The 23889-nt window shown below is 40.2% G+C and overlaps 1 long non-coding RNA gene across 6 annotated transcripts in view, besides 1 other annotated feature; it reads left to right on the forward strand.

Moving 5' to 3' along the window:
- Positions 1 to 23889, forward strand: part of LOC107987108 (uncharacterized) — a 675821-nt gene that overhangs the window by 646118 nt on the left and 5814 nt on the right. For 3 of the 6 annotated variants that reach the window (XR_007061713.1, XR_007061714.1, XR_007061715.1), the window contains 2 exons: positions 13279 to 13366; positions 13730 to 13915. This is a non-coding gene — a long non-coding RNA (uncharacterized LOC107987108). The remainder of the gene's footprint in view (positions 1 to 13278; positions 13367 to 13729; positions 13916 to 23889) is intronic. The other 3 variants (XR_001746870.2, XR_007061711.1, XR_007061712.1) reach the window with 1 other exon arrangement.
- Positions 19517 to 19681: a silencer, noted in NCBI's record as "fragment chr9:109356896-109357060 (GRCh37/hg19 assembly coordinates)". NCBI's record gives its function as "represses an EF-1alpha promoter that drives an FKBP-Casp9 reporter gene in an ReSE screen in K562 erythroleukemia cells {active_cell/tissue: K562}" and the evidence as "EXISTENCE:reporter gene assay evidence [ECO:0000049][PMID:32094911]".

The following is a 23889-nucleotide window of genomic DNA, read 5'->3' on the forward strand; positions in this document are numbered from 1 at the left end:
CCAAAAGGTAGAAACTACCCATGTCAACCAACAAACAAACAAACAAGTAAGTAGAGAAATGAAATGTGTACCCATACAATGGAATATTATGCAGCCTTTTAAAGGAAGGAAATTCTGGTATGTGCTGAACATGGATGAACCTTGATGACATTATGCTATGAAATAAACCAGGTGCAAAAGGACAAATAATATCACATGATTCCACTTACATGAGGTATATGTAGTCTTCAGATTCATACAGACAGAAAATAGAGTGGTGATTATCTGAGGGGAGAGGAGAATGGGGAGTTACTGTTTAATCAGTACAGAGTTTCAGTTTGGGAAGATGAAAAGGTCCTGTGGATGAACAGTGGTAATGGTTGCATAGCAGCAATGTGAATGTACTTAATTCTACTGGACTGTACACTTAAAAATGATCAAAATGTTAAGTTTTATGTTAAGCATATTCTACCACAATAAAAACACTCAATGAACAAAGTTTAATCAGATCTGCCAGAATAATTAAACAGCTGTAGTAAAGCCAACGGCATAGTTAAACTCATAGGAGGGTTTTTGGAAGGTTAAAGTGAAGACTCCATGTTCCTTCAACTCTAATCTGATTCCTTTATCTCAGAATGATGTTGAGATCCTGCGAATCTTTATTTTCCATAGAAGCAAGCATGCATGCATGCACGCACACGCGTGCGCACACACACACACACACACGCACACGCACACACACAGAGTCTCTGGGGCCCATAGAGACACAACCTGGAAACAGGGCTTGCCAGGATTAGAGAGCCAGGCCAGCCCATGTATCATTCACCCAGAAGACAGCGCTCCATGGAGAAAAAGAACCTCATAGTCTCCTAACAAAGAGGATAATAAATTCCGATTAGCCAAGGAAGCTCTGAGTCTAAATACCAGCAAAGCTCAGCCCCTGCAAGTGGGGACGAATTATTTGAAAGGTCATCCTAGAGACACTGAACAAAGGGCCTCTAGCAGCTGGGTTTCTTAATTTGAGGAAACACTGAAGCCTTTAAAGAAGCCAGAGGCAGAACTGGAGAGATGGGAAAGTGGAGCGGCCTTCTGAGCACAGGGAGGATTTAATAGGAAGGGAAACACAAGCCCCGCAGGAAGCTCTGGGACCTGGCAGCCATGGCTCTCTCTGCCAGGCTGACGGCCTCTGGAAAGAGCCGCCATCTCCTGTGCTGGGCCAGGGTGGCCTTTTTTGGCACTGTAATAAAATAGGATGGCTCTGATCTCAGTGATTAAAGCTTTAAAACCACAAGCCTCTGGGAGGGAGTAGACTCAGAGTAACAACCCGTACACCCCTGTTCACTCTTCTCCAGGCTGTGGGCTGCTGACAGAGCCCAGTCTGTCTCCAGAAAATTCCAGGGGCCTCTCAGGAGTCTAAGGCCAAGCCTCGACCAGTGGCCTCTTGCCTGGGTCCTGTTGTCACAACCCCAGCGGTTGAAAGATGGAAAGCTCCGTGGGAGGGCCAGGTGGCAGGCACGAAGCAGCCTGCTGGCCTGGAGCCATCCCCAGCTTCCAATAACCCCTCTGTCTAGAAAACCAAGGGAAGGAGAATGAAAGGGTCATCTTACTTGGGTAAAAACCTGAGCAATTGGCCTCATCCTGGACAGAGGGCACCCCAAGGGTAGACCTGAGTCAAATTCCTGAGTCTCTCAGGGAGCAAGGGGCTAGCTAGCACTGGTATGTTTCGAGCCAAAGACCATGCTAACAAGAGAAAGAAAAGAATATATATGGTGAACCAAGTGCTTAGTGAGGTTTTCCTATTGACTTTAATCCTCACAACAAGTTTGTGTGGTAGATAATGTTGTTCCCATTTTAGACAAAAGGGAATGGGGTACAGTCAAAATTTGAACCTGTATCTAGATGGCTCTAAAGTTGTCTCCTCTATACCACACTACCCCTAAATTAAGCCTTTCACAAATACTAGTTTCCTATGCCTTGAAAATAGTCTCTAATTCATATATTTGAGACACAGAAAAGTTTAGTAGCTTGCCAAATATACTGTCAGTGAGTTACAGAACTGAGACTAGAATTCATTTCCAACTGCTTCCAAAGCTGATGTTCATTCTTCCATGCCTCATATATCTTTAGTTAAAATAAAATAATCCTGTGGCTTTTTGCCAATCAGCAAACATTTTGCTCCTTCAGTTTTGAAGCCTTAGCCCTTTAAAGAGTAGCTCAGTAATTATGCTGCCCCAGTGCCCCAGAAGTCACAGTTTACTGCAGAATGAGGTGATATGAAACAAAACAGACACATCTCCAGGCCAAAGAAAGGCTATCTGGACTGCACAGACTTGATGACTTTTATTGAGATCTGAGGTCCATTTATGTACAAAAAGCAGTGAAGGGAAGTGGCAGTATATATGTGCATTTGGCACATGTTTAGTTCCTGCTCTGGCAAATGATTCTAGTTTTTTGGTTTTGGTGAGAAAAGACCCAGTGGGCTTGAGCAATAAAAATGACCAATCATTTTATGGAGAGAAATTAGATGTCATTAGCCAAAGTAATAAAAGCAACTGTCTCTTCCAAGATTCATGTATTCCAGCAAATGCAGGCATCTCTCTTCTCTTCAGACTTAAATTCTGCAAGTATGTTAATTTGCATAGGAAATATATACTTTTATAATCAGGTACCTCTCTTAGTTTCTTGGGGGAAATGTTCCCAAAGGCAGGAATATGCAAATTGAATAAAATGGAAATTATCTAGGATATTGCATATCACCTTATAATTTCAGTCAAAATGGCAAAGCCCACTTTAAGGATTACTCATGCCTAAAGGAAAGGGAATAGTTAAACCACAAAGGCTTGAAGGAGACCTCTTATATTGTTAAAGAACAATCCTAGGGCCACTCAGCTCCTATGAGCACCATCCTTGCAATAGAGACTTTCATATTAAAGGAAGAACAAAGGATGGGAAGTCTTTAGCAATAGGAGAAAGGCTTCCATGCAATACTTGTGGTTCCAGCAATATGCACAGTAGATGTTCTGAAAAAACTCCTTCCACATATAAATGCTAGATAAAATATAACAAACATCCTTTCAGATGCATGGCTGAGCTCACAAGAAAGGGAAATCCCCAGAGGTCAGAGGTCAGAAATGAAGAAGAAACTCAAAAGCAAGGTTGTAAGCATGTGTGCTTATGCTGTTGCTTCCCTGAGGTGACAGAGGGCAGGCACAGTCACTCATGGTAATCTAGGAGTTTGGATTTTAATGCCCATGTTGTGAAAGGAAATGAAGTCTTGTGCTTATGAAATGTGGGAAGAGTCAGAACTTACACACGCATAAAACCAGGACCCATGAAGAATAACACATATGATAAAAGGATACACCAGAAATGAGCTGCCTATCCCCAAAGACAGATAAGAGGAAAGTTTATCTCTCTCAGCTAGGTTGTGGTTAGGATAATATATTCTTGAAATCTGTAAACACCAATTTGAATAACATGTATGCCTGGGGCTCTAATTTATATTACATAATCCTGGAACCTCCAAGCTAGAATATTATACAGAATAGGTCCTAGGCTTTTAACATCCCTAGAGACTCTGGAATACCACTCTTATGGACAAATACTTTCAGTCAAAAATGAACATGATTCCTATGGATAAAGACCCACTCACAATAAACTCTCAATCCTAAACTAAAAACACATCAACAATTGATCTATTGTGAGTGGCTATCAGCAGAAAAAAAAATTATAGAGTTAAGCCCTAAAGAACTCCAATAATTAACCAATTTCATAGAGACTATACAAGTATATTTAAATAGTTTAAAGGCATAAAAAAGAGCTGCAAAAATGAGACACTGAGAAAAGAATAGATACTTTAAAAAGAATTAGAACTTATAGAAATGAAAAATATAGTTATTGAAATAAAAAATTCAATAGACAGTCTACAACTAAGCAAAGACCTTTTGTTTACAAAAGACCAACTGACTGATAAATTTGAGGTTATAAATTGAAGCTACCTGACACAGTGGAGAAAGCATGGGCCTTGTGGCCAGACAGACTAGACAGAATTCTGTAGAATGTGCACCACATCAAATTATAAACTAGTATCTGGTACTTATGAAATGCTTATTATGTACAAAGCAGTATCATAAACACTTTATATATTATTTAATATAATTCTTACAATAATTCTGTGATATAGGAATCAGTATCTTCATTTTACAGGTAAAGAAGCTGAGAATTAGGACGGAAAGAGCTTGCCCCACATTCCACTGACAATTGAAATCGCTAGGATTCAAACCCAGGTCTGTCTCACCGTCTTAACCACTGAGATTTGTAGCCTGTCCCATTAGACTGAAATCCTATTTGAATCAGCTGTGTAGGTTTACATTGCCTGAGAGTAGGAAAAAAGTATTTTCATCCTGAAGACCTAATAGAGCCTTTCAAGAATGTATTTTACAGCTCTTTTCTTGCTGATAGTAGCAGAATTTGATCTACAGCTCAAAGTGTAGGCCCAGTTGAATGTGGAAGACTTGACGGGTTAGACAAGCATCTTATGTCAGAAGACGCAAGGGGCCAGTTCTTTAAGTCTGGAAAGCTCAGGCTAATATTAGTGATCAGAGCCTGTCATGGAAGAATTTGAGAAGTCAGTAAAATGTTGAAGGATTGGGGTGACTTTGAAAGTCAAGGCTAGCAAAATGTTCAGAATTTAGTGGTTCAAATGGTTAGGGAGATTAGTATTATCAAAGTGCAATTCTGAATGAGATCTGGATCAGAAATTAGTCATCATTTTTCTGTTCTCTTATTCTCTCATATTTCCTCCTGAGGCTGGTTGCTTGAGTCCTTAGAGGAAGCCCAGAAAGTAAAGATGACCTTGCCTCTGACTAAGGCAGAAAATCATTAGGCTCTGCTTGATGTGTCCTATCTCAGGTTATATCTCCAGAAGAGGATAATGCTCTATTAACATCTTGTTCAGGTAACCATATTACTACAGTTGTTATACAAAAACTAGAGCTGATTAGAAGCATTTCTAAGAATACGTATTTCATATTTCACAGCTAGTTTCTCAGAAAACAGTGTAAACAATCACTAAGCATTTTAAAAAATTAATGCAAAACCCCAGGAACCTTGCATGGAATGATTTATGTTACATTTGTAACATAAATATAATGCAAATGAACAAAAATAAAAGCTTAAAAAATGTATATTGGGACTTTTTTTGACTTTTGGATAGGCTGTTGAAAGGTCGGTGAGGATTGAAATATTTATAATGATAACAAGAATTTATTTTTAAAGCCTTTTCTCAAGGAATTCTCACAATCCTCTTGAGTCTACACCATTAGACTTAATTTACAGATGGGAAAACTTAGGCAAGGGCAGTTAATGAAAATTGCCTAAGATAAAATAATTCATTAAGTGACAAACCATACTCTAAATTCAAGGTTTCCCAATTCTAAATCTCATGCACATTTCAATATGTCTGGTTAGCAACTTGGTAGCTGACTTAAAGCACATGCAAAAACTATGGGTTAAAGGAATCTAACAAGGTGAAATTTATCAAGGATAAACTTAAGGTACTGCCTGAATTTATGCCAAAATACCCTCAAATAAGTGAGGTATAATGTCCCAGCAGCTCATTGAAAAAAGACTCAGGAAGTCTGGTTAGCAGGAAGAACAGCATAAATCATTATATGTGACAGGACCACAAAAACTGAAACTTTAGTGACTTTATGCTACATCAAGAAGACAGACAACTCCTGGAACATCTTGCTCCATTTTGGGGTTTATGCTTTAAGAGGAAGCTATATAAAGTGAAAGACGATCCCCAAAGAGAAAACAAGATGGTAATGTACCAGAATGTCACCATATAGAGAAATGATGAAAAAACTCAGCATGTTTAGCTTGGAGAATCAATGAGATGAATTCAAGATATTCCCACCCCCAGGCAAATATAGAAACCCTAGGACTTTTAAGAAGAGGATAATTTACCTGGGATAATATGGCTGCTACAGTACTGGACTGTGGAATGATACTTGTCTGGGTTTGAATCCTACTTTCACTACTTACCAGCTATACTTACCACCTTGGGCAAGTTATCTAATCCTTTGGGTAAGTTATCTAACCTGTCTCTCAGTGTTCTCATAAATAAAATTAGACTAATAAGAGTACCTTCCTCCTAGGATTATTTTGAGGATTAAATGAGTTCATACAATTCATAAATTTAACACAAGCTATTGCTATAGCAGAGCAGAAATCTCATTAAGTATTATTTGTTGATGCTATTATCCTTTCTCCAATTAAGTGGGCCATTCACTACCCAAGAGAAGAATCTGTCTTATAGGCATAATGGCAGCTAGGAGATGGGTCTCCACTTCCTCAGCATTTGAGACTCCCACACTCACCTCAGATGAGTCTTTCATTTCCATGAAGTGCTCTCAATGCCTGAAACATTTGTACCAAAATCTAAACCATCCCAAAGAACAGAAATGCCTTTTAAAACACAATCTCCTAGATTTACCATCTTCTACATACCGGCTGTGTGATCTAGAGCAAGTTAATTTGTCTCTCAGAGCCTCCGTTGCCTCATCTGCAAAATGCCTTGCTGTAGGAAAGATGACTGAGAAAATGTGTGTGGCTGTTCCCAGTGTCAGCCTACTATAGGCAAAATGATCAGGAAATGCCTTTTTTCTTTCCATAACTTAAGAAGAAGCTGTGACAATGTGATAGTTTTGAAATACATCCATGTAGTCAAACAGGCTATATTAGTCTATTTTCATACTGCTATGAAGAAATACCCAAGACTGAGTAATTTATAAGTAAAAGAGTTTTAATGGACTCACAGTCCCACATGGCTGGGGAGGCCTCACAATTATGGCAGAAGGTGAAGGAGGAGCAAAGGACATCTTATGTGGCCACAGGCAAGAGAGCGTGTGCAGGGGAACTACCCTTTATAAACCATCAGTTCTCATAAGGCGTATTCACTATCACAAGAACAGCATGGGAAAAACCCGCCCCCATGATTCAATTACCTCCCACTGGGTCCCTCCCATGACACGTGGGGATTATGGGCACTACCATTCACGATGAGATTCAGGTGGAGACACAGCGAAACCATGTCACAGGCACTGAGCCCCATGATGCTATGAACACAGGGATGAATAATGTATGACCCCAACACTGAGTCTGCTCATGGTCTGGAGGAAGAGGAAGTAAATAAGCAAGTGCCTAAGAACATGGCAGTAGCTAGTGATCTCAGGCAGGTTGGAATCATGGATGGGAGTAAAGGGCAGCAACCACACTGCAGGAACTTCAGGAGCAAGCAAAAGTTGGAGTTAGGAGATGATAACAAATATACCACACTCTTAAGAAACTAAAATGGAGAAAGAAGGAAGGAGAAGGAGAGGGATATCCAGAGTTATCAGAGGCGTGTGTGTGTGTGTGTGTGTGTGCACGTGTGTGTATTTGTCTGGGGCCATATTTATAATCTGAAAAAAAGAACTAGTAAACAGGGAATAATTAAATATCAACATGACAAGGGCAGCCATTGTGCAAGTCCAGTTGTCAGAGTTGACTGACAGGTGTATAGATAGCTCACCTCACCTTTACATCGGGGTGGAAAGCCACAGTGGACCTTAGGACAAAGGGACGGTTCCAGAAGTTCCTATTCTAGGGATACAGCCAGACCCTCAGCACCTCCACAGGGGATGGATGTTATCCAGAGCCCTGAAGTCACCCATGAAGACAGCAGGAACCTCCCGAACTCTTCTTTGCGGTAGAGGGCCTGAGTGAAACACTGACAAACCACAAATTTGTTTCTTGCTTTGTTTTTTTGGTGGTGGTGTTTTTCCTTGGGAACTGGCACATTTTGCATTGAGGGTTACACAAAGCAAAACAGCTCTAGTGTCAAATGGAAATCCAGCAGGCTCTTCCCAAGATGTACGCTTCCTTTGTACAGGCCGCCGACTTGGGAGAGGGGGCCCAGGACATAATGCCTGTGCCTCTTGGGAAGCACATCCAGACAATGGTCTGTGTGTGAAAAGGGGAACAGATTAACCAGGACCGGGGTATCTCCCAATTGCTTTTCTTAAAGAAAGACTCTATTGCCAGGAAGCAAAGCACACACAAAAACAATACCTAAGCTAACAGAGTACTGGCTTTAATATACTCAGAAATAACAGAACACGGGCAGGCTACAACTTTCCAAATCCCCTTGAAAATCCTTTGCCAGAGCAGAGATGGTTTGTCAAATCTATACTCTTTGTTTAATACGTTTGTTCTTTTGTTTGATCAAGGGGGGAAGCCGTCTAACTCATTATATTGGGGGAGCTGCATTCATTCCTTTGTGCTTCTTTTTCTTCTTCTAATCTTTATTAAAATCAAAAGAAGAGCCACTCTAATCCTTCAAATGATAATTTATTTCTCAACCTACAAAGTCAGAGTCTTCGCTATTATTTTAAAAACAAATCAATGCAACAATTTTAATTAAAAATGAAACAGAGTGAACCTAAAAAATAAATAGGCATTTGTTAGATCAACGAGCAAACTTGTTTACAATTAATGGGCAACAGGACTCCTGGTGATAAAGAAAGGGTTTTAAAGCACCAGAATGTTTCACTGCAGTTGGTAAATTCTCTGGACTTTCATTTGAGTCTTTAGAGAGAAAAATACATCTAGAAGTCTCCTAATGAAATGTCCTGACCCTGGGAAATTTTATGCTTCAAAATGTGCTCTACCCACTGCCCCAACTGTCCCCCACTCCCATCTCTGCCAGCAGCTTCCTTGGCTAGAAGACTCAGTGGGTTCTCTTTTAGCTGGGGTTATTCATCTCAGATAGCAGAGCAGGTTTGGCATTCTCACAAGGAAAAAAAAAGGCTCTGTATTAAGGAGACATGCTTTGGCCTGCTCATTGGTGGGTGGGGCTGGTGGAGTGGACTGATGATGATCTTTAGGAAGGCTCAGGTTTCTCAAGCAGGAGAGAAAACCACATGTAGTAGGAAGTGGACTTTCTCCCAAATACCACTTAGGAAAAAAAAAGTGATTTCCTGAAAGGAAAGCTAATGGAAAATGAACTTAAATATGTAAATTTATTCAGTGTGTATCTTTTATTGAGAAGCTACTGAGTTCCAGCAATGGCATTTAGGATTGAATTTCAAGAGATGATCTTTCAATTGGTTTATGGTGGTCCAGCAGTCTCCCAGCTCTGTCTCTGTGGCAAGCCTGAAAAGAGGAGTCACAGAATCTAAGTTCATGGTTCAGTGGAGGAGGCAAACCATGTGATGAAGGCTATGGCAGACATGGATGCTAAGTGCTGTGGGAGGGGACATGGAGGGAGAGAGAACCTCCTTTGGAGTCACCTGTACCTCTGGACCAGGTCAGGGAAAGCTGTAGGGAAGAGGTGCTTTTCAGATGGGCTCTGAAGAATAAGTAAGACTTAAGCAAGTGGATGAGGATGAAGAAGAGCATTCGTGGCAGACCAATACGAGCAGGCTCAAGTACTGTAAGAATGTAAGAATGTAGAGGAGTGCAGGGATGAGGGGCAGATGGTTATAATGGTGTTTTTTTCCCCCTCATAAACTCCTATTCCTCCTTCCAATGTTAGCTTAAGCTTTATCTCTGAGAGGACTTCCCTAAGCTGCCTATCTTGGTTCTGGGGACTCCCTGCACAGTACTGTGTGTCACTTGTTGATTCCCCCACTAAACTGTGCCCCTTAACCTGCTCAGTCTCTCTCCCCTTCATTCCCAGCACCACAGTGCCTTGAGAAGTGGACTGAGCAGGAGGCCAGGGTCAGATGCTCAGATTTTCAGGGTGGAATGAGATATAACACCTCTGTTAATGCTGCAGCAAAAAAATGCAACTGAAGTGTGTTTGTGTCTAAACTCCTTATGCGGCCCTGGACACTATGATTGGCTGCCCAGGTACCCCTTCAGGAATGAAGAATTTGTCACTGCATGGAAGGATTTCTGTGGGCAGATAGCCCTCAACTGTTAGCCCCTGAAGGGTCTCAGCTGAAGAGATGACCTGACCCAAGTTCACACACTCTTCCAGAGCCATCTGCATCCAGTGACTGATTGTCAGGGTGTTTATATGCTCAAGCTTCTCAACCTAATATTAGACAGCTCTCAAAAGCCATCATCCCATCTTCACAACTTCCTGTGGATTCGTTGTGAACTCCTATGCATCAAGACTAAACCACAGCTTGACTTCTCTCTCTGCCCAATTGATCCTGCTTTCTTCTCTTTCCTTCCAAGCTCTTAATCCTAAGAGTCCTCCCCAAAAGATTTCCTCCATGCTACTCTCTATATTAGGATCTGCTTCTGAGACAATCCAACCTATTATAGCCTCTTGAGGGTCCAGCCTCAGGGAACCCAGGGTTGACCTGTCACGGTCACACTTAGCATACCTGGTAGGTTTGTTTTTTGTAAAAGCAGATAATTTGAGAGGAATTGTAAACAATTAATAAGTCTTGTGAACACGACTATGTTAACAAATCATCAGAAAAAAACAATTAGCAAATTAAGAAAAATAGCATCCAGGTCTGGCAATTTTGTGAGTGTTCTATTCTGGAGAAAATAAAAATTAGTACAGGTCTTCTAAAAAGCAATACGATAACATATATCAAGAATTATAAATCATTCCAAACATGGAATTTATCCTGAAGAGATCATTAAAAAGAATAAAATGAATCTATACAGGATGATGTTCTTTGTAGCATTAACTCGAATGAGAAAAAAAGTGAAACACCCCAGCTATCCAACATTAGGGACAATAATACTGTGGAACGATCTGCAGTGATAACCATGAAGACTAAATGAAAAGCACAATGCACTTATGATATAATTATAGGGGAAAGAAGCAAACATTTTAAAAGTTCATTATGACTACCTAAAATCTAAGTGGATTCAGATAAAGTAAGTAAAAGGAGATGACACAAAATGATTTTGAATGATTTCTTTTCTTTTTCCAAATTTTAGTGTCATCACATTCTTCCCTTTAAAAAATTTAACTAGCAGATTATTTGCATGATTTGACATCTAGTCTTCTTGCATGAGCAAAAGGGAGAGTAAATATAAAAGAACAGAAAATCAGACCTCAATAATATGGGCCTAGAATGTGATATGACCTTTCCCTGCCCCCAACTTTCTGAAAGAGATCAAGGTCTTGAAGTGGATGGATATAATTTGACAGCTGCTCTTTGAGCCCTACTTCAAGAAAAGAATAAAGTCATAATTCTCAAGGGGTATCCATGTTTTTTTAAATTTAATTTTTATTTTATTTTATTTATTTATTTATTTATTGAGACAGAGTCTCGCTCTGTCGCCAGGCTAGAGTGCAGTGGCGTGATCTCAGCTCACTGCAACCTCTGCCTCCCGGGTTCAAGTGATTCTCCTGCCTCAACCTCCTGAGTAGCTGGGACTATAGGCATGTACCACCATGCCCAGCTAATTTTTGTATTTTTAATAGAGACGGGGTTTCACCATGTTGGCCAGGCTGGTCTCCATCTCTTGACCTCGTGATCTGCCCGCCTCGGCCTCCAAAAGTGCTGGGATTACAGGAGTGAGCCACTGTGCCCGGCCTCCATGGTTTAATTAAAAGAAGTTCTTGTTCTCAGTCTATTGGGGTCAAAGAAAATTACTCTTCCGTATACCATCTCCTTTTAGTCACCATGCACATTTAGTCAATCCCCTTTATAGCAGAAGAGACATCTCCAGCCTTCTTAAGAGAACTCCTTCAGGAATCCCTTCATTCCATGATTCTTGGACTCCTGATTCTACTTTGCATCATGGTACCTGGACTGTATGACCTGGTTTCCTGGACTCTCCTTTAGCTATGATAACCCAAGTAACAACATGTGTTATCATCACAGCTTCCAGTTATTTTGTATTTCTGTGTGCTGAGCACTGTGCTTAGCTTCTTATCTATATTTTATCATGTAGTGCTTATAACAACTCTATGACTATTATTATTCCCACTTGGAAGATGAAGACACTGAGGTTTCAGGAAATTAAAAACTCAGTGCAAGATCATAAGTCCAGAAGGGTTCAAGAACAAGATTCAAACCAGGTTTGCAACCAATAAAAACTATGTCTCAACCATCATGCCTGGAGATCATGCTGATTCACACAAAAGTCAACATTCTGCTCTTTCCACTGAGGAGCATTTCGGGAAATTCCCTTCTGTCATTTGCCTTAAAAACTCCATAATTCTTGGGAGACACAACTGTTGCTTTGCAAAGCAATTACATTAAATATGCATCAGACTGCTTAGCTTGTCCTGAAAATGAATTAGTCACCTTTCTCTTTTTTTTCCTCACTCTGCATCTTTTTATACAAGGAACTTGGTGACCCTGCCCTGGTGTGTGCACGATAGAGGGCAGGGAAGAGAACAAGCAGAAAAGGGAAAGAAATACGTGGGGATGAATCTAGCTCATGTCCAGAGACTCAAATGGGAATGCCCTGTGGAAATGAACTGTGAAGGCCTGGCCAACAGGGCTGTCTGTCTAGTACCTTCTGCCTACTGTGTAGCTTCACAAAATAATTATCATAGGTTAATCAGGTCGGCAAACTTGCCGGGCACTGAAAAGCCGGGCAGCCTCAGGTGTGCTCTCAGTGGGCAACCGCGGAGGCTCTCTGGCTGCTCAGATGAGCAAGTTACCTGGGAACAATTGATCTGCTGAGAAATCTGATGGCTGCCTCATGAGGGGAACCAGGTCACTAGGATCGCTGGGTGAAGGCTGCTCACCCTTCGAACAGTCTAACCCTCTGTGATCAGGCTGTTTTAATCCCCACATCTCAAGACTCTCACAAATCTGGAACTGGTTTGTAGTCTAAGGCCCTGGCAGGGATAATATGTTTAATTGGCTTGAAAGCAGAAAACGCAAAGTACAGGACATGCAGCAAAGTTAGTTTTGTAATTACAAGAAGTCCGGTGCCCTTCAGAAGGGTTACATGTGGGTATTTCTCCAAAATGGATTGTTTTTTGTTTTGTTTTGGGGAGTTTGTCTTTTTGTTTTTGTTTCATGGTGTTTTTATCTACTGCATAGAATTTGGAGGAAAAAGCCCAGGATTTGAAATGTGGACAGGAATTTAAATCCTTGGTGGGCACATAGCAGCTGTGTGACCATGGGCATGATACCTAACCTCTGTGAGGTACAATGGGGACAATTATATCCACCTCTTAGGGAGGTCATGAAAATAAATTGAGATCAAACATATGAAAGCACCCAGCACTGGCATACTCAGTCCATATTAGTTTCTCATTCTCTTCATTATTTTCATTATCATCTTTATCACATCCTCACCTTTTTTCATCATTGTCAGTAGCTGCAGCATCAACCCAGTGCCCTGACTTTCAAGACGACTATGAAAACACCCCAACTGCTGCTAAATTACCAGCAACAAGGATCTGGTGAGTAAGTTATTTTGGGGAAGTCAGGTCTTGTCAGCGTGCGTCGAGTTTCTTGCAGTCCTGTGTGTCAGTCTTTCTTAAACCCCTCAGATACCCAGAACCTCTCTGTCTACTAAAAAGAACTGAACTATTAATGTCCCTCATAGAAGAAGAAAGGGAAACCGGCTCCTGTAAATGTGGGTCAGGAATCACCAGGGAGGTAATGACTTGGTCTGCTCTGTGTTCTCTGGCCCTCCTTGGTCCTTCCATGAAAGCCCTCTGTCAGGAGCCCTGCGTGGCCATGGAGTGATTGCCCTTTTGTTCTACAAATTCCTGGATATGACTCACAGAACCGTTTAAGCACGTCTCTCTTCATGTTCCTAGGAATTTTCCTGACAAGAGCAGTGCCTATCCTGAGGCAATCGTATTTCTCCTTGACTTCTCTCCAGTATCAGCTTGTTGCTTGACACCCCTGCACAGCCAACTGTGTAATGTGGGTGAGTCTAGCTGCATTTTCTTCAGACACAAGCCTGGCTACCCAGTGCTAAGGTGACATCAGGCCAGGCCACAGTAAGTCATTTATCCTCCACGCCTTCCTCTCCAGCCCTGAGTGAGGTGGAGTCCTTGAAACTATCACCATCCAGTGGAAATCAGTGCTGCACTTTCAGGAGGTTAAGCATGAAAAGAGCATAAAAGGTGCTATTACCCCGTGTCTCAGTAATTCCCCTTCTGGAAACCTTTTCTGAGGAAATGATGTGAAAGGATTCGGTCATAGTGGCTGGTAGTTACTGAGCACTCACTATGTGCTGACACTTATAATTGCCAGGTATATATTGACTTATTTAATCATCATAACAACTCCAGGAGGAAGCAGTCAGGTTATCCCCATTTTTCAGATGAGAGAACCAAAGAACAGTGAGACAATTGTATGTATGTTCATGCTGCTTAAGTGTGTAGGAGCTGAGAGTGAGCCCAGGTAGTCTGATTTCACAAGTCCTCACTCTTGACTTCTATACTAGTGTGGCCTCCATGCACAAAGCTTGATATAAATAGAAGAGGAAGAAGAAGAAGAATGAGGAGGGATGGGAGAGAAGGAAGAAGGGGAGCAGGAGAACAAAAGGAAGGAAAAGAACAGGACAGGAAGGAAGATTTAGAATAAAAGTTAAATTTATTGTTATTTATGATAGTGAAAATCTGGGCCAGGGCCATTTGGGTCAAGTATTCTGGCATTACAGGTACCCAGGGTATTCTGAAGAAAGAGAGTTCTATGGGTACAGCTGCCTTCTCACTCACTGGGGAGGAGCACAGTACTGAGAGTGGGGCTTACGTTTACAAAGTTGGTATGAAAATTAATAGGCATCTACATTCCTAGATGTCAATAAATAGAGTGAGAGTTGTTTGTTTGCTTGCATATTGGAATGGAGAAAAATAGGTCCAGTCCTAACAAACTTTAAATTACTTCTGCTCTTCCCTTCTTCCTGAACACTTTCATCTGTCCACATTACTATGCGAATTTTTTGATGCTGTCAATGGGAATTTTTAAAATAAGTATGTTGCTATGTCAAAAAATTTGGAAATTAAAAGATGTTGTTTTACATTCTTGGCACAAAATGCCTCAGGTTCAATCTTCTCAGAAAAATATCAGGCACATCTATCTAATACCAAAAAGTTTTCAGAATGGTTATCCTAGGAATTCTCTTTCTGAAAATTTACTATAGTGAACTAATTGACAAGGGGAGAACAATTTTTCACAGGAAGATAATCCAATATCACTTATAACAACAAATATTAGAAACACCTCAAATGTCCAATAGGGAAATAGTTAAGTATCTTAGGGTATATCTCCTCCATGGGATAGTATGCAGTCATTGGCAATGATAATTTCAAAGACAAAATGTTGCAAACTGAGAAAATGGTTAAAAGTAAAACACACAAAAATTATATAGAAATTATTACCATCAAATGATATACATTTTTGCATATAGACAGAGATACATTTTTTGCATGTAGACAGAGACTGAAAGGCTGTACAGAAATTAAATCAGATTAATGATGATGGGATTCAAGATAGTTTTATTTTGATATGCTTGTTTCCACATTAAATATTACAAATTTACAGATAAAAGGACAATGATAAAAGGACAAAGCATTGTAATGGGTGCAGTGCAAAAGGAAGTCTTGGGACAAGCAAGATGATAGACAGGAAGCTACTGCCCTAATCAGGTATGAGATCCTAGTAGTGAAGTTGAACAGTGATAGTAAGGGGAGGATTCCAGAGATAAGCTATAGTCAGTGAGAGTGAGAGGGAATCACTGATATTCGAAAGTTTGTGATTTGAGCCTAACAATAGAGAATAACAGTACAGGAACAGGACTAGGGAGAATTTTGGAAACATTATATGTGGAGGTAACATAGAGACATTCTTTAAGCAATATCCAGTTGGAAGCTGGAATAATGTTTTGGAGCTCACAGCAACGTGTGACTCTGGTCCCCACGTGTCTACATGCGCAGAGGATGATTTTGTATCCAAATAGAGATCTGAGCTCATGGTAATTCTTAATATACAAAGTATAGGACTCAGGCCAGCATATTACAGGTCAAGATTCACCTTAGTGATTGCCAAACTTAGAGTTCTGTAATTGTTTTCTTTTGACAGATATTACTCCAAAACTTAGAAGCTTAAGCTTTTGTTATCTCACAATTTCTGTGGGTCAGGAATCCAGGTGCAGCTTAGCTGTTTGTCTCTAACTAAGGATCTCTCAAAAGGGTAAAATCAGGGTGTGAGATAGGGCTGCAGTTATCTCAAGAGTAATCTTGGAGAGGATCTTTTTCCAAGCTTCCTCATGTGGCTGTTGGCAGGCTCAGCTCCTCACTGACTGTTTGCCAGTGACATCAGCTCCTTACCATTTGGACCTCTCCCTTGAGCAGTTTGAAACATGGCAGCTGGCTTCCTTCAGAGAGAGAAAGAGAAAGGGAGAGAAGGAGAGGGAGAGAGAGAACCCAAGAAAAAAGTCACAGACTTTTTATAACCTAATATCAGAAATGACATTCCATTACTTCTGCTGTATTTTATTTGTTACAAGGGAAATAAGCCCAATTCACATTGAAAGACAGGGAGTCACAGATGGGGAGGAGCAGCAGGAGGTGGGGATTATTGGGGGTTATCTTAGAGGCCTCCTACCACCAGTTTTGTGGAGGTAAATTGAAGTCATTCCACACCATTACCATCAGCACCATCACTGCCATCTTTGCCATATTCGTTCACTACTTACTCTTTTGAAAAATATGGAGAAGTTGATTTTTGCAGAACTGCATAAAGTTAGCCTTCAAAGATCTCTTCAAAGCTATCCAGCTCAGAAACAGTAAATGCAGTGCAGTAAGCGTGTTGCCATTCTCCCTTTTCATGCTGCTGTCAGACATAACTGATCATCCAATTCCCCCTCCCATATCCATGCTAGGCATAACTAATCATTTAAGCCCTTGAATGTTGTGAGCATACCCAAAGTCTTGAAGTAAGTAGCAAAACTGATATTTGAATTCTGATCTGATGCCAATATCAGTTCTCTTCCTGTTACTCACTGTCTACCTTTCAGCTCCACTCCTGGCAAGTTATTTTACAGCTCCATTTCCTATGCAGTGTGACATAACAATTCTAATATTTGGGTGGTTGTGTGGTGAGTGTATATGTGTATACCCACTGGCATATTCTGTTGAATAGAATTGGCAAAACAGTAATCCAGATCACAAGATCACACATGGACACACATATACATACGTACATGTATATTTGTATATATTTTTCTTTTTCCAGAAAGTGATTATGCCATTCCCATCCAATCTAGTCAACCCACACCAGTGTGAATACTAGCAAATTGTTCTTGCCAGTAGTGGAATGTGCAATGTGCCCAAGGAGATTGTCTAAAATTTAAAGGACAGAGACCAATACAAAGTATTCACTGCCTATATCCCCCTTACTTAGAATACGGTCTGCCATGCAATGTGCCGTAAACATCTGATGAATTAGTGTGTGAATGATTACAGGAATGAAATCAGTTATTTTTCTACCATCAATCATTCAGGCACCACTTCACAGGTTTTGCCATACACCAGTGTTTTTTGAACTTAATATTTCTCTTTAAATCAATTAATTTTAAACCTAAATAATTTTTAAACAGAACCTGTAACTTGTTATCATCAATAAAAAAAGAGTTATTTTTAAATGACATAGCATATCTATTTTACAACATTCACAAATCACCTAGAAATCATCTTGCATAACACTAGGGGTGAGTGCACTGCACTAAACAAATGAATGTAAATCCCATAGCATGTGTCCATGTTTGGAGTCTCAGAGATGGCTGAAGAGGCCCTTTAAAGAACCAGTGGCAGTGCCTGCCAGGAGCCTGGCAAGAGTAACTGGCCTCTTTAACCCTAGGAGAGACTGTAAAGTCTGTGAAATATCAGTGGAATTGGAAGAGGCGTGGTCAAGGCAGTGGCAGATGAGAATCCATTAAAACATCCTATAGGGAGGCTGTTCTCACTTCCTGCCAGGATGCTAGTCACATTCACTCATTCATCCAGTACCTTTTCAGATACTACCATGAGCCTAGTCCTGAACTAGGTTCCATGAAGACCAAAAGGAATAAGGCCCAATGCTTGTCCATCAAGAGCTCAATCTAAAAGAGAAGTAAGAAGTACAAAACAAACAAAAACCCTTCATGCACTTATAAATTCTCTAATAGGGTCATGCATAAGATGTTCAAAATACTGAGGAAGCAAATGCCGCTGCCTCAGAGGATACAGAGAAGAGGTAACACCTGTTCCTCGATACAAAGAACAGGTATGTAAGGGCGCTCAGAGCAGAAACAGAATAGGTAAAGGCCTTGGAGGTGAAAGACAATGAGCATGACACGTGTGGCAATAGCAGTGAGTATACCAAAGGAAGTGGAAGGGGTAGAGGTTAACTATGAGAGCATGGGTTATGAGGGCTGCTTAGCTTGGTGAAAGAGTCTGGAATTTATCCTGAGGGCAAAGGAGGTCATGAAGGATTTTAAGCAGAGGAATAAAGCAGCCAGTCGTATATTTTAGAAATGTCCCTCCAGCTGATGTCAGTAGTACAGACCGGGGATGCAAACTCGGTTTTCTCATCTGTGCAATGGTCTTTGTAAGCTACTTCAGAGGGATCACAGGAGAATTAACACCTCTGAGTGAAGCACTTTGATTTCCACAGAGAAAAAGTCAAATACATCTATTAAGTTAAAATACTATCATCCTTGAGTTTCCATAATCTTTTCTCTGACCCTTCTCGCCCACATAAGCATACTGCCCCAGGAAAGAGTTTGTGAAAAGAATTCAGAAGAATGTAATCCTAATATACAAATTGTGCTATTGTTTATAACTAATCACAGTTAATGTGAGTAGAAAACAAGAAGAGTGCCATACACAGAGTAATTAGCTTTCCTGAAAAATTTATAGGAAAGGAAATTGGTTACAGAGGAACGGAGGTCTCAGCTTGGTCACTTCCTTTTTGGATTTGGGCAAGTCTCTTAGCTTTCTAAGCTTCACTTTTCTCAGCTCTAAAATGCAAAAATAAGTTTTGTGTTATAGATCTCTAAGGCTCTTCTAACAGAAGTTCTAGGTTTTTAAGATGCTCTGGGCAGGGCATGGTGGCTCAAGCCTGTAATCTCAGCACTTTGGGAGGCTGAGACAGGTGGATCAACTGAGGTCAGGAGTTCGAGACCAGCCTGGCCAACATGGCGAAACCCCGTCTCTACTAAAAATACAAAAATTAGCCGGGCGTGGTGGCACATGCCTGTAATCCCAGCTACTCGGGAGGCTGAGGCAGGAGAATCGCTTGAACCCAGGAGGCGGAGGTTGCAGTGAGCCGAGATCGCACTACTGCACTCCAGCCTGGGTGACAGAGCAAGACTCCCATCTCAACAAAAAATAAATAAATAAATAAAAATAAAAAAAGATGTTCTACGTTTTTTTAGTTATACAATCTCTTTGATGGTAAAACATAAAATAAAAAGTCACAACTTATACAGACAAGTATTAACAATGGATTGTTTTCACATATATTTAACTGAGTGTTAGTATAAAAATAAATCTTTTTATACTAATATATGATGCACATTAATACAAGCAGAATTTTATCTAAGTAGTACAACTGTTTTTTTGTTTGTTTGTTTTGGTTTTTTTTTTGGGTTTTTTTTTTGAGACGGAGTCTCTCTCTGTTGCCCAGGCTGGAGTGCAGTGGTGCGATCTCGGCTCACTGCAAGCTCTGCCTCCCGGGTTCACTCCATTCTCCTGCCTCAGCCTCCCGAGTAGCTGGGACTACGGGCGCCTGCCACAACCCCTGGCTAATTTTTTGTATTCTGAGTAGAGACGGGGTTTCACCGTGTTAGCCAGAATGGTCTGGATCTCCTGACCTTGTGATCCGCCCGCCTCGGCCTCCCAAAGTGCTGGGATTACAGGCATGAGCCACCACACCCGGCCAAGTGTGTGTGGTTTTCTTTTTGTTTTATACTAATTATGGTATTCTTGCTGTCCTGACCAAATTTTTATTAGTCACATTATCACCTTCTTCATTTTGTTTTTACTTTTATTTTAGGTTCAGGGGTACATGGGTAGATTTGTTATATAGGTAAACTCATGTCAAAGGGGTTTGTTGTACAGATTATTTCATCACCCAGGTAGTAGGCCTAGTACCAAATGGTTTTATTTTCTGATCCTCTCCCTTCTCCCACCCTCCATCCTCAAGTAGGCCGCAGAGTCTGTTGTTCCCCTCTATGTGTCCATGTGTTCTCATTATTTAGCTCCCACTTATAAGTAAGAACATGCAGTATTTGGGTTTGTTCATGCATTAGTTTGCTAAGGATAATGGCCTCCACCTCCATCTGTGTTCTTGCAAAGGAAATAGTCTCATTCTTTTTTATGGCTGCATAGTATTTCACGGTGTATATGTGTCACATTTTCTTTATCCAATCTGTCATTGATGGGCATTTAGGTTGATTCCATGTCTTTGCTATTATGAATAGTGCTTCAATAAGATGTTCTATATTTCTTAATGGCAAGAGTTTCATAAGTATCTGGAATAAGAGCATTTGAGTCCAGAGAATGAGAAATGCAAAACCCTTAGAGCAGCAATGAGTTTTATGGGTTAGAAGAAAGTCAAAATGCCAATGTAGATATAGCACAATTCACCAATGGGGAAATTAGTAGAAAATAAGATTAGAGAGGTAGGCAGTGGCTGGATCAGGTAATGCTTGGTAGGTCATTAAGAAGTCTGAATTTCATTCTCAGTAAAATGAAAAGCAATTGAAGTGATTTTAGGGACAGAAACACAATCCATTTTAAAAGGAACACTGGCTACTGGAATAGAGAAAAGATATGGGGAGAGGAAAGAAGGAAGAGTAGAAGCAATGAGATCAATTTGTAGGCAATTGTAGTCCAACAAAGAGAGCATGGTAGCTTAGACCAGAACTGTCGGATGGAGGGAAGTGAGATTAAGGTAAAGCTGATAAAACTTGCTGAGAGCTTAGGTGTAAGAAATAAGGGGAAATGAGAAATCAATAATGATTTCTAAGTTTTGAAAAAGACTGGAAATAATCAGAGTATTTTGAGAGGGAAGAAAAGATCAAGATTTCTGTTTTAGCTGTATTACATATAAGATAGATAATAGACATTCTAGATGTTTGGCAGGTAATTGATATCCCATATATCATGGAAGAATTTAGGACAAGAGATAGAAAGTTGGGGGTTATCAGACTGTATGAAATAATCCATAAACAAATGCAGGTGACGAGAAGACAGTAGAGAAACACACTGAATTGTCAGAGCAGGGATGGAGGAGCCAGCAAAAAAAAAAAAAAATACTAAGATGGGTTGGCCAGTGAAGGAGAAGAAAATCTAGAACACACTATCACAGAAGTGAAGAGAACAGAGTATTGAGGAGAGAAAAAGTGAATAACTTTGTCAGAGCACCTGAGAGTTTAAGAGTAGCACTGATAATTGATCACTGGATTTGACATGTCACTGTTTGATGGCATTGATAATAACAGTTTTCAAAAAATGTTTTTGAAAGAATGGGAACTAACACCTGATTGGCACATTTTAAAAAAAGGATTAGAAATGAGATAGTGGAGAGAGCAAGTATGGATGGACAATTCTTTTCTCGAGTTTTGCTTTAACAGAGAGGAAAAACATATGGCAAGAACTAGAAGAGAATGTGAGTCAAGGGCGGGTTTCATTTTCTTAACATGGGAAACAGGATAGCATGCTTGTCTGCTGATGGTAATGATCAACAGAAAAGGAAAAAATGATCAAGAAGACAGAGGGATAACTACTACAGGAACAAAGTCCAAAAGAAAGAAGTCAGATGAGATCCAGTGCACAAGCAGAAGGGTTGGTCTTAGTAGAAGCATGAACAATCCCTATGAATAAATATATAAACAGGAGAAAGCTGGCTCTGGAGGTTGAGATGCAGATAGGTTGGAAAACTGGTAATGAGAATACACGTTTTTATCTTCAGATCATGACTATTTTCTTAGCTGGATAAGAAGCAAGGTCATCATCTGAGAATAAAAAGAAGGGGGCAGAGTAAGAAGGCTGAGAAATGAGAAGATTCCACTATGGTTGTCTTGGATAATGAGAGAATCAAAAAACGTGGCAAGGTTGCCAGGGAAAATAGAAAGTTCACTTGAGGTTTGTGGTCACAAATTTGAGGTTAGACCAGACAGTATGGTTGACTATTTTTCTCCCGTTCACTATCAGTGACCCTGCTGTAGGGACGAAATAGGCACGGTTGGGTTTGAGGACTGAGTTTGGCTGGCTGAGAATGACAGAAGGGCCAGAAAGGTGAGGATTTGCAAGAAGATGATTACAGCTTCAGATTCTGGAATCTAAGCTGAGTGGTGAGGAAGGAAGGAAGGCATAAAGGGATGGGGACTCTAAAAAGGAATGGGCTCAATGACCCAGAGGTGCAGATGTAGTCAGAAATATATATAGACTAGGGATTAGAAAAGATCTGCCAGTTCCTACTTTGACACATTTGGACAAGTTTCTTAGTTTTTTGCTCTCATTTTTCTTCATTTGTAAAGCAGGGAAAATAATATCTACCTCATAAGGTTGATGCAACAAAAATATGTTAATTGCCTAGAATAATTAACATTTACAAAGAGATCTAGTACTGGCACACAGTATTTGCTGAAAATCTTCTTAGTAAGGTTTTCTACTTTTGATGGTTAAGGCATTGGTATAATTTGAACTATGTCTACAAAATACCAAATATCTTTATAAAAAAAGAAAATTCTGGCAATAACTGGATTGTTATTTTACCCAGTTTGGAAAAAATCTGGATTATGCCAGTTCTTAAGAATTTATTTAAACATTGGGAATTGTATAAACATATTTAAGCCATTATGAGACCTTTGTCTCAGAGACTGTGGGGGAATGAGAGAGGTGGAAATAGGAGATGGGGTGGTAGCTTCAATTTTAGGTATACATCCAAACTTTATAGAAAACAATCCTTTTTGTGTTTGCCTTACAAATCTCAAATCAACAAGTTCATCTTCATTGGTCTGGTATGTCAATGAGTTAAATTACACTTTCTGACATATGTTCTAAGCTTCATAGACATATGTTCTAAGCTTCATAGAGAAAACTGCAATTCCATAATTACATTTCAAAGAGCAATCTATACCAATACCAATACTAAATTTATTATCTCCTCCCTACGCTTATAGTGTCTTTTGTATTTTCTTTCTTGGTGTGTTGGTCCATCTCCCAAGCTAGAAAATCAAGAGATATTGAAGCTTCATCTTTCCTTTTTCTCTTACCTTCCACACCTGATTAATTGCCCATTTCAGGTGTCATTGCTACGTCCTAGGTAGCATAGCCTTTACACCTGCCAGCTCCATCTCCATGACACTATCTCTGCTCATCTTCGTCTCTCAACTGTATTCCTCACCAACCTTTACATATCTTCCTCTAATTTTTCTTCCTCTGAGCCAATATCAGTGGTATTTGACCTTAATCATGTTGCATCACTGACCTTTTGAGAATAAAATTTTTGACATTCTTTTCAGAAAAGAAAGCTCATGTGCACACAGACATGGCTTTTCACCTACAAGTTTAAGGTATTCATCTCATCACATCTGTGGACTTCTTCGTGTTCAGGGATACCAAGTAACAAACTATAGCATCATCTCTGGTCCAGGGTGAGTTTTAGAAATTGCAGCTCTCACAGCACTCCCCTCCTAAGTAACTTCATGTCAGGTTGTTGCTGAAGTTAAGACTCCTCAGTGTAGACTCAAAGCCCATCCAACTGCTGCCCCAAATTTTTTTCCAGATGCAGCTTCTTACATCTATAACTGAAACACATCAAATGTAAAACTTGCCCTGTGTTTGATATCTCTGTTCTCTCCATGCCTATCATGGTACCCAGTACTGAGAAAATTTAATAAGCATGTTGGGACACAGGAAAGAAAGGATTTTTATTGATCCTGTTTTCCAGAGTAATATTCAAAAGGCAACATTCCCAA

Source organism: Homo sapiens, chromosome 9, assembly GCF_000001405.40.
Source record: "Homo sapiens chromosome 9, GRCh38.p14 Primary Assembly".
Taxonomy (NCBI): Eukaryota; Metazoa; Chordata; class Mammalia; order Primates; family Hominidae; genus Homo; species Homo sapiens.